The 14,185-nt window shown below is 48.1% G+C and overlaps 1 pseudogene and 1 further gene across 7 annotated transcripts in view, besides 2 other annotated features; one reads left to right on the top strand and one right to left on the bottom strand.

Annotated features, from left to right (window-relative positions):
- The window catches only part of IGK (immunoglobulin kappa locus), a 1,378,008-nt gene that overhangs the window by 643,254 nt on the left and 720,569 nt on the right, over positions 1-14,185 (bottom strand).
- Positions 6,119-6,198: an enhancer, noted in NCBI's record as "active region_16178". NCBI's record gives its function as "activates an Ori minimal core promoter by ATAC-STARR-seq in GM12878 lymphoblastoid cells {active_cell/tissue: GM12878}" and the evidence as "EXISTENCE:reporter gene assay evidence [ECO:0000049][PMID:35858748]".
- Positions 6,349-6,578: a silencer, noted in NCBI's record as "silent region_11736". NCBI's record gives its function as "represses an Ori minimal core promoter by ATAC-STARR-seq in GM12878 lymphoblastoid cells {active_cell/tissue: GM12878}" and the evidence as "EXISTENCE:reporter gene assay evidence [ECO:0000049][PMID:35858748]".
- Positions 6,450-14,185, top strand: part of LOC107985911 (lymphocyte specific protein 1 pseudogene) — a 42,827-nt pseudogene continuing 35,091 nt past the window's right edge. For 5 of the 7 annotated variants that reach the window (NR_160765.1, NR_160763.1, NR_160764.1 and 2 more), the window contains exons 1-3: positions 6,450-6,565; positions 10,975-11,109; positions 11,480-11,557. The product of NR_160765.1 is annotated as a lymphocyte specific protein 1 pseudogene, transcript variant 5 (transcript). The remainder of the gene's footprint in view (positions 6,566-10,974; positions 11,110-11,479; positions 11,558-14,185) is intronic. The other 2 variants (NR_160761.1, NR_160762.1) reach the window with 1 other exon arrangement.

The following is a 14,185-nucleotide window of genomic DNA, read 5'->3' as shown; positions in this document are numbered from 1 at the left end:
GAGGAAGCATTGACACTGGAGCCCAGGGACCTGGGATTACAGAACAGATTCTACCAGTGCTAACTTACTGCTCCAGAGAAAATATCAATTCTGCTCATCCGCAGGTACTATTCATCAAGAAAGGGATTACAAGTTCACAAATGTGTTCAAAATGTACCCATACTTCGATATATTAATGAAGTAATCACATTCTACACATAACTACTCCATATGGAATACTGGGGTGGGGGTGTTCCAAATAAAGAGACTGAGGATTTCTCATGAGAACTCAGTGTCTGCTAGAAAATATCTAAGTAAAATATTTTACTTATGTGGAAGGTGTGGATGTTTGTGCATCACAAGTTTCAAGAATCCCTAAAATGTACAATGGAGATGAGGAGAAAATATCAGAATTTCCCAGCACCAGAAATGAGGCAAGAAAAAATTCAGAGGAGTTGTAAATGTGAAAAGCCAATGGCTGGTCACGCAGCAACATTGATAACCTTGTGCCAGGACAACTAGAATAAATACATAAACATACAGATTGAAAGTATTTCCAATATTAGATCTCCCTCATGTGAGAACTAAATTATAAAGATTGAAGCATATAAGAAAATAAGCTACCAGAATTTAGGCTACCAGAATAAATTCGATTACACATAAATTTCTGATATTGAAATTCTCACAAATGTTTAAGTTGGTAGTGGAAGACAAAGGACATATAATCTTGGGAGTCCTAGGGCCCTGCCCGCTGCCAGTTCCTCCATGCTACTACAGCTGATGCTTTCTGGAAAGCAACACCTCCTGGCAGGAGGCCAACCAGCACAAATATAGAGCATTAAACCACTAAAGCTAAGGACCCTCACAGAGTCTATTGCACCCTTCACCACCTCCACTGGAACAGGCGCTGGTATCCATGGCTGAGAGACCCATAGATGGTTCACATCACAGGGCTCTATGCAGACAACCCCTAGTACCAGCCCAAAGCCAGGTAGACCTGCTGGGTGGCTAGACCCAGAGGAGAGACAACAATCAATGCACTTTGGCTCACAGGAAGCCATGCCCATAGGAAAAGTGGGAGAGTACTACATCAAGGGAACACTCCGTGCGACAAAAGAGTCTGAACAACAGTCTTCAGCCCTAGAACTTTCCTCTGACAGAGTCTACCTAAATGAGAAGGAACCAGGAGACCAACCCTGGTAATCTGACAAAACAAGACTCTTCAACAACCCCCAAATAATCACACCAGTTCATCACCAATGGATCCAAACAAAGAAGGAATCACTGATTTATCTGAAAAAGAATTCAGGTTAGTTATTAAGCTAATCAGGGAGGGGCCAGAGAAAGGTGAAGCCCAATGCAAGAAAATCCAAAAAATGATACAATAAGCAAAGGGAGAAACAGTCAAGGAAATAGCTTAAATAAATAATAATAATAATAATAAAAAATCAGGAAACTTTGGACGCATTTTTAGAAATGTGAAATTCTCTGGAAAGTCTCAGCAATAGAATTGAACAAGTAGAAGAAAGAAATTCAGAATTCGAAGACAAGGTCTTTGATTTAACCCAATCCAATAAAGACAAAGAAAAAAGAACAAGAAAATATGAGCAAAGCCTCCAAGGAGTCTGGCATTCTGTTAAACGATGAAACCTAAGATTAATTGGTGTACCTGAGGAAGAAGTGAATTCTAAAAGCCAGGAAAATGTATTTGGGGGAATAATCAAGGAAAACTTCCGTGGCCTTGTGAGAGACCTAGACATCCAAATACAAGAAGCACAAATAACACCTGGGAAATTCATCACAAAAAGATCTTAGCCTAGGCACATTGTCATTAGGTTATCCAAAGTTAAGACAAAGGAAATAATCTTAAGGGCTGTGAGACAGAAGCACTAGGTAACCTATAAAGGAAAACCTATCAAACTAACAGCAGATTTTGCAGCAGAAACCTTACAAGCTAGATGGAATTGGGGCACTTTCTTCAGCCTCCTCAAACAAAACAATTATCAGCCAAGAATTTTGTATCCAGCAAAACTAAACATCATATATGAAGGAAAGATACAGTCATATTCAGACAAACAAATGCTGACAGAATTTGCCATTACCAAACCAGCACTGTAAGAACTGCTAAAAGGAGCTCTAAATCATGAAACAAATTCTGGAAACACATCAAAACAGAACTTCACTAAAGCATAAATCACACAAGAGCTATAAAACAAAAATACAAGTTAAAAAGCAAAAACAAAAAAAAAAACAAAGTATAGAGGCAACAAAGAGCATGATGAAAGCAATGGTACCTCACTTTTTAATACTAATGTTGGTTGTAAATGGCTTAAATGCTCCACTTACAAGATACAGAACCACAGAATGGATAAGAACTCACCAACTAACTATCTGCTGCCTTCAGGAGACTCACCTAACACATAATGACTTACATAAACTTAAGGAAAGTGGTAGAAACAGGCATTTCATGCAAATGGACACCAAAAGCGAGCAGCAGTAGCTATTCTCATATGAGACAAAACAAACTTTAAAGCAACAGTAGCTAAAAGAGACAAAGACAGACAGTATATAATGGTAAAGGTCTCATCCAACAGAAAAATATGACAATCCTAAACATACATGAACCTAACACTGGAGCTCCCAAATTTATAAAACCATTACTAGTAGACATAAGAAATGAGATAGACAGCAACACAATAATAGTGGGGGACTTCAATACTCCACTGACAGCACTAGACAGGTCATCAAGACAGAAAGTCAACAAAGAAACTCTGGATTTAAACTATACTTTGGAACTAATGGACTTAACAGATATACACAGAACATTTCATCAACAATCACAGAATACACATTCTATTCCACAGCACATGGAATTTTCTCCAAGATAGACCATATGATAGGCCATAAAACGAGTCTCAATAAATTTAAGAAAATTGAAATTGTATCACGCACTCTCTCAGATCACAGTGGAATAAAACTGAAAATCAACTCCAAAAGGAATCTTCAAAACCATGCAAATACATGGAAATTAAATAACCTGCTCCTGAATGAGCATTGGGTGAAAAATGAAATCAAGATGGAAATGTAAAAAATTTCTTCGAACTGGATGACACAACCTACCCAGACCTCTGGGAGACAGCAAAGGCAGTGCGAAGAGGAAAGTTTGTAGCCCTAAACACCTATGTCAAAAAGTCTGAAAGAGCACAAACAGACAATCTAAGTTCACATCTCAGGGAACTAGAGAAGCAGGAACAAGCCAAACCCAATCCCAGCAAACAAAGGAAATAACCAAGATCAGAGCAGAACTAAATGAAATTGACACAACAACAACAACAACAAATACAAAACATAAATAAAACAAAAAGTTGGTTATTTGAAAAGATAAATAAAACTGATAGACCATTAGCAAGATTAACCAAGAAAAGAAGAGAGAAAATCCAAATAACCTCACTAAGAAATGAAACAGGGGATATTACAACTGACACTACTGAAATATTAAAGATTATTCAAGGGTACTATGAACACCTTTTGGCACATAAACTAGAAAACCTAGGAGAGTTGGATAAATTCCTGGAAAAATACAACCCTCCTAGCTTAATCAGGAAGAAGTAGATACCTCAAGCAGACCAATAAAGCAAGCAGCAAGATCGAAATTGTAATTTTAAAATTACCAACAAAAAAAACCGAGGACCAGACAGATTCACAGCAGAATTCTACCAGACATTCAAAGAATGTCTTCTTTCATTCAAAGAAGAAATGACACCAATCCTTTCACACTATTCCACAAGACAGAGAAACAAGAAAGCCTCCCTGATTCATTCTATGAAGCCAGCATCACCCTAATACCAAAACCATGAAAGGACATAACCAAAAAAGAAAACTACAGACCAATATCCTTGATGATCACAGATGCCAAAATCCTTAACGAAATACTATCTAACTGAATCCAACAACATATCAAAAAGATAATCCACCATGATCAAGTGGGTTTCATACCAGTGATACAGGAATGGTTTAACATATGCAAGTCAATAAATGTGATATACCAAATAAACAGAATTAAAAAAAACTCAAATGATTATATCAACAGATGCAGAAAAAGCATTCGACAAACTCTAGCATTGCTTTATGATTAAAGCTCTCAGCAAAATAGGCATACAAGGGACATACCTTAATGTAATAAAACCCGTCTATGACAAACCCACAGCCAACATAATACTGAATGGGGAAAAGGTGAAAGCATTCTCTCTGAGAACTAGAACAAGATGAGGAGCCTACTCTCACCAGTCCTCTTCAACATAGTACTGGAAGTGCTTGCCAGAACAATCAGACAAAAGAAGGAAACAGAGGAAATCCAAATCGGTAAAAAGGAAGTCAAACTATCACTGGTTGCCGACGATAAGATCTTTCACCTTGAAAACCCTATGGACTCCTCTAGAAAGCTTCTAGAACTGATAAAAGAATTCAGCCAAGTTTCCAGATACAAGATTAATGTACACAAATCAGTAGCTCTTCTATACATCAGCAGCTACCAAGCAGAGAATCACATCAAGAACTCAACCCCTTTTACAATAGCTGCAAAAAAAAAAAAAAAAAAAAAAAAAAAAAAAAAAAACTTAGGAATATACCTAGCAAAGGAATCAAAAGACCTCTACGATGAAAATTACAAAACACTGCTGAAAGAAATCATAGTTGGAGCCAAGCATGTTGGCACATGCCTATAATCCCAGCTACTCGGGAAGCTGAGGCAGGAGAATCGCTTGAACCTGGGAGGCAGAAGTTGTAGTGAGCCGAGATCACACCATTGCACTCCCACCTCAGCGACAAGAGCGAAACTCCCTCTGAAGAAAAAAAAAAAAAAGAAAGAAAGAAAATAAATCATAGATGACACAAACAGATGGAAACGCATCCCCATGCTCGTGGATGGGTAGAACCAATATTGTGAAAATTACCATTCTGTTAAAGGCAATCTACAAATTCAATGCAATCCCCATCTGAATACCACCATCATTCTTCACAGAATTACAAAAACAATTCTAAAATTAATATGGAACCAAAAGAGAGCCATGTAGCCCAACCAAGGCTAAGCAAAAAGAACAAACCTAGAGGCATCACAGTACTTGATTTCAAACTGTACAATAAGGCCATAGTTACCAAAACAGCATGGTACTGGTTTAAAAATACGCACATAGACTAATGTAACAGAAGAGAGAACCCATAAATTAACCCAAATACTTACAGCCAACTGATCTTCGACAAAGTAAGCAAAAAATAAAGTGGGGAAAGGACACCCTTTTCAACACATGATGTTGGGATAATTGGCGAGCCACATGTAGGGGAATAAAACTGGATTCTCATCTCTCACCTTATACAAAAATCTACTCAAGATGGATTAAAAACTTAAACCTAATTCCTGAACTATAAAAATTCTAGAAGATAACACTGGATAAACTCTTCTAGACATTGGCATAGGCAAGGATTTCATGACCAAGAACCCAAATGCAAATGCAATAAAAACAAAGATAAATAGCTGGGACTTAATTAAACTAAAGAGCTTTTGCATGGCAAAGGGAACAGTCAGTAGAGTAAATAGCCAACAGAGTGGGACCCCTGACCCTGACCCCTAACCTTAACCCTAATCCCTAACCCTAACCCCTAACCACAACTCTCACCCTCCCCCTAACCCAACCCTAACCCCTAATCCCTAACCCCCAACCTCTCTTAACCCCTAACTCTAAATGTTGACTCCTAACCCCTAACTCTGACCCCAACCCCTATCTCCAACCCCTAACCCTAAACTTAACCCCTAACACCAACCTTAACCCTAGGTTCGTTACTACGTTTGTATTGACTATGTCAATGTTGATTATTATGATCGCTGTCTTAGGACTGCACGGCAGCGAGGGGATTGTGGATCTTATATTAATGTTTTTGTGTCGAGGCAGTGCATTAGCACTACAGGTGCTTGTTACATGAGCAAGGGGGGTGTCATATTTTGAGTGTCATGTCTGCATTAGGAATGCTGCATTTGTCTTCCGAGGCTGCGGTGTGGCTCTCGCACTGCGGCCGCCTCACCTTGGCTGGGGAGAACCTCGGTGGGCAGGATTCAGAGGGGCTTTTGGTTTCCCGTTTTCCACACTGAACCCTTCTAACTGGTCTCTGACCCTGATTATTCAGGGCTGCAAACAGGAAGGATTTTATTCACCGTCGATGCGGCCCCGAGTTGTCCCAAAGCGAGGCAGTGCCCCCAAGGTCCGTGCTGAGGAGAACGCTGCTCTGCCTTCGCGTTGTCCCCCTGGTCTGTGCTGAGCAGAACGCAGCTCCGCCCTCGCGGTGCCCCTGGCCCGCCCGGGTCTGTGCCAAGGAGAACACTGCTCCGCCTTCGCTGTATCTCCCAAGTCTGTGCACAGGAGAACTCAGCTCCGCCCTCGCGATGCTCTCCGAGTCTGTGCTGAGCACAACGCAGCTCCGCCCTCGCAAAGGCACAGCGCGGGCGCAGGCGCGGGGCGGTGCACAGCGCGGGCGCAGGCGCCGAGAGGCGCACGGGAGACCTCAGGCCCAGACTCCACTCCCCAGCTGTGAAAGGGTAAGAATTGAGGGTGGCTGAGGCTCGGGGTTGTTCAGGGCGGGGTGGGCTCTGGACCCAGCAGGCCCGGCACCCAGGTCAGGGATCCAGGGGAGGCCAGGTGGGGCGAAGGCCAAGAAGGGGCCGGGGCTGGTCAGGAAGGGCTCCTGGTGACCAGAGCGCTTTGCGTGAGCCAGCGTGGGAGGAAGGTGGGCTGGATGAGCCAGGGAGGCGCCGGGAGGGGCCTTGGCAGAGGCGACCCCCTCCGTCAGCCCCCAGGCCACTGAACCCTGGGTAGCAAGAACCGGCAGGGGAGGCTGCAGACGGAGGAGTGGAGGCTCCTTGGCTTTGGGGGCTCTGAGTAGAAGCATCTAGGGGGTCCCTCAAGAGGCCCCCAAATGCTGCCCCATGGTGAGAAGACAGGGAGAGGCCCTGCAGGGACCCCCCCCGGGTTACAAAGGGCTGCCACTGTGAGAAGGCAACGCTGCTGGCAGGGGCTGGGCTTTCTACCTCACCAAGCCTCTTCCCACCCAAAGAGCCCAGAGAGGGGCAGCTGCCCCCCCAGCGGGCACAGCACCTCCTCCCTGTGTGATGGGGTGGGGCCCACAGTCTCCTTTCTCGCGGCCTGCCTGGGCTGACCCTGGGTCCCAGCTCGGCCATGGGGCTTCGGCATGTAAAGCCCTTGGGGGGCAGAGCCTCCCACCCCCGCCAGCTTCTGGCTCTCTGTGTCGCCCCCAGCACTGGACTGGTGCCTTGGAGGGAGGCTCCGCTCTCCTCCACATCAACCCGCTGAGGAGTTCTGTCTTCCCAGGGTTGTGAGAGAAATCAGCTCTGCAGGCCTATGTCCAAGTCTAGGCGCCGCCTCCTCCAGGGAGCCTTCCAGACCTGATCTGTGTGGCAGAGGCCCAGAAGGACCTGGGTGTGGGGATCCTAGAGGGAGGCGGGGGACCCAGCGTGAGGAGAGAGGGTCCCAGTGCTTCCTCCTGCGTGAGGGTCACCCATCTGACTCCGGCTGCACAGAGCCACTCCCTCTAAGCGCTCCTGCTCTCTGCCTTCCTGCATTAGCTTTTGCCTGTACCCGGCCCAGCAAACCCCTGCTCATCTTTCAGACCCAAGTTCAAGGCCTCCTCCCACTCCGGGTGGCTCATCACCTGGCCTCCCCAGGCAGAGAGGCTAGGCTCCTGCTCACTGGGGCGTCTCCCTTGCCCACTGGCGCGGGACTACAAGGAAAGGGGTTGACCCCCACCCTCCCCCGCCACGCCCAGGAGGATGCAGACACAACTGGGAAGGTGCTAGAGGCCCCGGGGGGAGGCTGGGCCAGCACCAGGCATTGGGGGGCAGGTTCCCGTCTCTATACCCCAGCCCCAGGCGGACAGCACGTGCCCCTCCCGCTGCCCCACCTGTCACCCACCTGCTGGCCCCGGGCTGTCTCTGCTCCTGGCTCCCCTCCCAGCTGCGTCCCCAGCTGCCTCTCCAGGGAGGAGTGACAGCTGGCCTGTGCCACACCCTCGAGCCCCCCCCCCCCGGACTACCCCCTCCCTGGGGCAGGACCCCTGCCTGTGGCACAACCAAGGGGCCTGCTGATGGGGGCTCATGTGAGCAGTGCCCCAGCTGTGGGTGTGGGTGCTGCCAGCTGCCACCGCCTTTGCCCTGGTTTCCCAGATAGACCCCGACCCACACTCCGAAGCTGTATCATGAACGCTGTGGTGGGCGGCTGGTGGGGAGCGGGGTTGCCGTCCCACTACCCTCTGGAAACCTCAGCCATGAAGGGCCCCTGTGGGCACCTTTTCCCGGCACACGGTGCTGTGTCTCTCCACTCTTGGGCTCTGCAGTGACTTGAGGGGTCAAGTCTATGATCCCACGGGAGGCTGGGCTAATGAGGGGACCAGAGACCTCAGTGCTGTGCAGGGAGTCCCGAACCACCCTGGTGGAAGGCCCTGCCCAACTCCCCAGTCCTCCCGCCAGCTCCCTGTGGTGTCCAGGAGACCTGTGGTCAGGCCTGGAGGAGAAGCTCCTCCTCCCCTCGACATCCTCCCTGCAGCCCTTGCTCTTCACCAGAGCCTCCTGACTCCCCAGGACCCCAGAGAGGACCGACCCTCTCCAGCCGACCTCTGGGCTCAGGACAGCTGGGTGGGGCAGCCACAGGAGCTGCCTGTAGGGAGCAGAGTCAGGACGGGGACCGAGCCGGACACCCATTCTGGAAGTGTCTGCACTTCCAGGCAGGGGAAGGACGGCAGTGGGTAGCTGGGAGTGCTGGGCCGAAGATGGGCATTGTCAGGCCCTCAGTGGGGACTGGGAGGTAGAGGTGGGGAGGTCTGTGGAGGAAGGAGAAGAAGGGCCAGTGTCCCGAGTCGGGGGTGGTTGGCAGTGGACGAGGCCGACAGGAACAGACCTGAGCTTGGGGAGCTCCACTCAGAACGAGGCATCCTTCAGGGTTCTGTGCATACTGGTGTCCCTGGCTGGGGGCCAGGCCCCGAAGTGGAGCCTGGGACTGTGAGGGTGGGGGTGTGTGCTGGGATGGGAGGTGGATGGAGCCCCCCCGTAACCGCCTGGCCGCTTGGGCTGAACCTTGGACTTCGGAGCCAGAACAGACATAGGAAATGGCCTAATTGCATTTGCGCAGGAACACCAAATCCCTCGCAGCTGCACGGGGCTGAGCCGGGGCCACAGGCAGGGTCGGCCATCCCAGAGTCCTGACAGCTCCGTGGTGCATGCCAAGGGGCCTGGGCCGCTGGCCGGGGGGCGCCTTTCCCAGGCCAGAGGCCCCCACCCCACCCCAGGAGAGCTGCCCCCCTTTCAGTTCCCAGAACGGAGCCCAGCTGTGGAATAGTGATGCGGTGAGGTCATGGGGAGGGGGCCCGCATGACTCATATCCTGGGGGAGGGGAAAGGGAGGAGACGGAGAAGGGGCCCAGAGGCCTCCACGTTCTCAGCTCTGCTGGGTCAGAGGCCAGGGGCTGGCGGGGCTTCTCCCCAGCACTGGGTTTTAGGGGAGACACCAGGAGATGCTTACTCTGCATCCCCACTCTGTCCCCCAGGCCCCTAGCCAGGGAGAGCTCAGTCAGAGTGATCCTCCAGGGGCCCAGCTCTGCATGGATGATGTTCCCAGAGTACACACCTGGGCCTCGTGCCAGGGCCGGCACCGCCGTTGTCGGGGCCATGGCAAGGCAAACAGTCAATGTTTGCCTCACTAAAGTGAGGCTGCAGCACCCTGAAGGGATCCCTGGAGGGGGACGTGGTCCCCTTGTTCCCAAGCCTGTCTGCACATGCACGTGGATGTCAAGGGTTCCCGTGTGTGAGCACGTGCATATTTGTATGAGCATGGGGTGCAGGCATGTGTGCCTGTGTGGCCGGAGCGTGGGCTCGTGGAGAATGTGTGTGAGTTGGGTGTGCACCTGCATGTGCCCCAGGCCTAGGGAGTCCCGCGCCCGGCCACACTCCATGTGTTGGGCATGAGCTGTGAGCAGAGTGAGGGCCTTTATGGGGCTGTTGGGGCCCGGACTCGTTGCCCTTAGGGGTGGACCTAAGGAAACGTGTGCACACGGGCTTCTGGGGTCTCTGTGCCAATGTGTGCTTCCAAGCCACGCCCCCCCTATGGCTTGGTGGAGGGGGTCTGTGGAGCTGGAGTGAGGGCCCTGGACCCATTGGAAGCCCAGGTCCAAGGAGGAGCTTGGGCTCCATCTCATGCCCCAGGCCCAAGGACACACACCCCAGCTGAGACCTTGCTCACATGGAGGGGCTGGGACATGGGAACATGGGGAGCAACATGGCCAGGCTTCTCCTCCGTGGAACCCCTCCACCTCCTCAATACTCTGCCCCAGCTCTGCGCCGCCCTCCATTTGGAGGGGCTGGATCGTGAGTGGGAGCGTGAGTGAGCATGAGGGCCCCTGCACCCCAGGCTCTGCCTCCCCATGTGGAACGAGGCCCAGCAGCCCCCAGCCACGCGGCTACTACTGCATTCAATCAGTGCCCCTCCATCTAACAAATACTCCCTCATATAATCAGTACTCCTCCATCCAATCAATATTCCTTCATCAACACCTTTCTATACAACCAATAGTCCTCCATCTAATCAATGCTCCTCCATCCAACCAATACTCTGCAATTTAACCACTGTCCCTCCATCCATTCAATGTCCCTCCATCCATCCCATGGTCCCCCAGCCCTACCCCATGAGCAGCATGGAGGCAGACCCACATCTGTCTTGTGCGCCATCATCTCCCTGATGCTCTTCAGGAAAGGGAGGTGTCTCACAATTGCATTGAATGGAGGAAGGCACATCTTTCCAGTGATCCCCACTCTAGGGCTGCATTGGGAAATCGCTCCCAGGGAAAACACAAACACAAAGCAGAGGGTTGCCCAGTGTGACCCTCTGATGTGACCACGGTGGCTGTCCACTAAGGTAATCCTGATGCTTTTCCTCCTCTGCAGACTGCTGGCCAGACCCCCAAGCTAGCCCGCCAGGCCTCCATAGAGCTGCCCAGCATGGCTGCGTCCAGTACCAAGAGTTGGTGGGAGACGGGTGAGGTACAGGCTCAGTCTGCGGCCAAGACTCCGTCCTGCAAGGTAAGGTCCCCTCCAGGGGCAAGGCTGGGCTGCAGAGCCAGCACCGGGGAGTTTAGTAGCAGGCCAGGTTTCCTTGTTAAGACAAGCGTGGGACTGTCCAGGATGAATGTGGGCAGACAGAACCCTGAGGTATTGCAGTAGGGTTGGGTTCACCCTTGCTGGTGTAGAAGGCTGTGTTGTCCGAGTGGAGGTGGATGGCACCTTTATTCCTTTCCCTGCTTCTTCCACTGGGATCGCACAGAAAAAGTTTTGGTAGGCAGATCCCAGGCCCCCTGGCCAGGTAAGGCAAGGCAGGAGAGAAGGGCCCAGGGCTTCTACTCCCCAAGATCCAGGGGTCTGCCCTTGTGACATACCCTTCTGCTGCCCCCAGGATATTGTGGCTGGAGACATGAGCAAGAAAAGCCTCTGGGAGCAGAAGGGAGGCTCCAAGACCTCATCAACAATTAAGGTAGAGCCTAAATGTGGTTGGTGCAGGCAGGAAATATTAACTCATTTCATTGTCACACGAAACCAGAAGACATAAAACAGTTAAAATAGGCCAGGCACAGTGGCTCACACCTGTAATCCCAGCACTTTGGGAGGCCGAGGCGGGTGGATCACGAGGTCAGGAGGAGACCATCCTGGCCAACGTGGTGAAACTCGGTCTATACTAAAAATACAAAAAAAAAAAAAAAATTAGCCGAGCGTAGGGGCACATGCCTGTAATTCCAGCTACTTGGGAGGCTGAGGCAGGAGAATCACTTGAACCAGCAAGTTGGAAGTTGCAGTGAGCCGAGCTCACACCCTGCACTCCAGCCTGGCGACAGAGGGAGACTCAGTCTCAAAAAACAAACACACAAGCAAATAAAAAAAACAAAACAACTTGACACACTTAGAAAATGAAGGTTTGTGCTATTAGTTTTCTTTTATTTTAGAAAAACAAAGCATTGTTTAAATATTTCTTACAAGTACAAATATAATTTAAATTTAATAAATGTTCAAAAATATCTGTAATTGAGTTTCATTCAGCAGACATATGTCTAATAGAGAACTTGCTAAGTAAGATATAAAGGATGATTACATGAAAAAATCACAAAATTGTCAGTAAGAGTCTTAAAAGTCAGTGATAGGACAGTAGTTAAAAGATATCAAATAGTTATTTATTCTTAAACATTAAACAGGATATTAATAGTTTTAATAATCTTGAAGTTTGACAACACTGTAAAAACATTACAGACCACTTTTATTTATGAAAATACGTGCAAATAGCAAACACCAGTTGGGCTTAAGGCTGCTACTTACTTACCCAGTAAGTGACAAAGCTGGAATTCAAACCAGGTTTGAGCTATACCACTACTACCCTTGAAAAGGTTTCATTACACTCAGCTTTCCTTAATTTCTTAAACTCTTTTTTTTTTTTTTTTTTTTGATTGAGACAGAATCTTGCTCTATTGCCCAGGCGGGAGTGCAGTGACATGATCGTGGCTCACTGCAACCTCTGCCTCCCAGATTCAAGCAATTCTCATGCCTCAGCCTCCCAAGTAGCTGTGATTACCCGTGTGCATCACCACACCTGGCTAATTTTTGTGCTTTTAGCAGAGGTGGTGTTTTGCCATGTCAGCGAGGCTGATCTTGAACTCCTGACCTCAGGTGATCCGATCCACCCGCCTCGGCCTCCCAAAATGCTGATATTACTGGTGTGAGCCACCACGCCTGGCCAATTTCTTAAACTTTTGATTATACTAAATATGGTCCTTCTGCGTGATAACACTGTTTTTCCTTTTATAAAATTAATCTCTTAAAATACTTTAAAATTCAAAGTACACTTTTTAGATTCTTTAAAATACTCTTTGCCATGTTCATGGCCTTTAGATGTGTGATCATAGCCTATTTGCTTTTCATTGACTTAGTTTCATATTTCTTTGCCTTTTTCCCCCTACTTTTCCTTATAGAACTATTTACTAGTAATGAAATCATTTTAAAGAATACACTTTTTATTCCACCTGCTAACTGTTAAGAGAATGTTTTATAATCACTCTGGTCATGGTCTGTAAGTTTCTTTTCTAAACTATCTTTTCAGGATACATATTTACTAACTTGCTTTCAAATGAATATGGTCATGTCTATGCAGCAAGTTTCTTTTCTTTCTTCTTTTCTTCTTCTCTTTTTTCTTTTTCTTTTCTTTCTTTTTTAAGGCAAGATTTCGCTCTGTAGCCCAGGTTGAAGTGCAGTTGTACAAACATGACTCACTGTAGCCTCAACCTCTCTGGCTCAAGTGATCTGCCCACTTCAGCCTCCCAACCAAGTAGCTGGGACTGCAGGTGTGCACCACCCTGCTCCGCTAAGTTATTTAGTTTTTTGTAGACATGGATTCTCAGTGTGTTGCCCAGGCTAGTCTTGAACTCCTGGACTCAAGCCATCTTCCTGCCTTGACCTCCCAAAGTGATAAGATTACAGGCTTGAGACATTATGCCCAACCTCTTTTTCTTTTTCTTTCTTTCTTTTTTTTTTTTTTTTTTTTTTTTTGAGACAGTCTTGCTCTTGTTGCCCAGGCTGGAGTGCAGTAGTGGCATGATCTTGGCTCACCGCAACCTCCACTTCCCGGGTTCATGCGATTCTCCTGCCTCAGCCTCCCGAGTAGCTGGGATTACAGGCATGCACCACCACACCCAGCTGATTTTGTATTTTTTAGTAGAGACAGGGTTTCTCCATGTTGGTCAGCCTGGTCTTGAACTCCCGACCTCAGGTGATCTGCCCGCCTTGGCCTCCCAAAGTGCTGGGATTACAGGTGTGAGCCACCATTCCTGGCCCTCTTTTTCTTTTTAACTGAGCTTATTTATCTCTTCCCCAGCTTGAGTCTGGGTCCTACTGTCTTGGTCAGAGTATTTTACTATATTGACCTGGACAATTCTGCCATCATGAACCATATTCCAAACCTAAATATGTAAGAACATAGAAAGATTATTTTAGCAGGAGAATTTTAACACACACACACACTTTATTCTGAAAATTTAGCAACAAAATGAAAGGTGAGTTGTGGTAGTTGATGTATCAACAAATAGAAAGAAGAAAGCCTGTAATCTGTTTCAGAATGCTA

The sequence above is a fragment of the Homo sapiens genome, chromosome 2, assembly GCF_000001405.40.
Source record: "Homo sapiens chromosome 2, GRCh38.p14 Primary Assembly".
In the NCBI taxonomy this organism is placed as follows: domain Eukaryota; kingdom Metazoa; phylum Chordata; class Mammalia; order Primates; family Hominidae; genus Homo; species Homo sapiens.
Note: the sequence above shows the minus strand (reverse complement) of the source record. Positions and strands in the feature narration are given on the sequence as shown.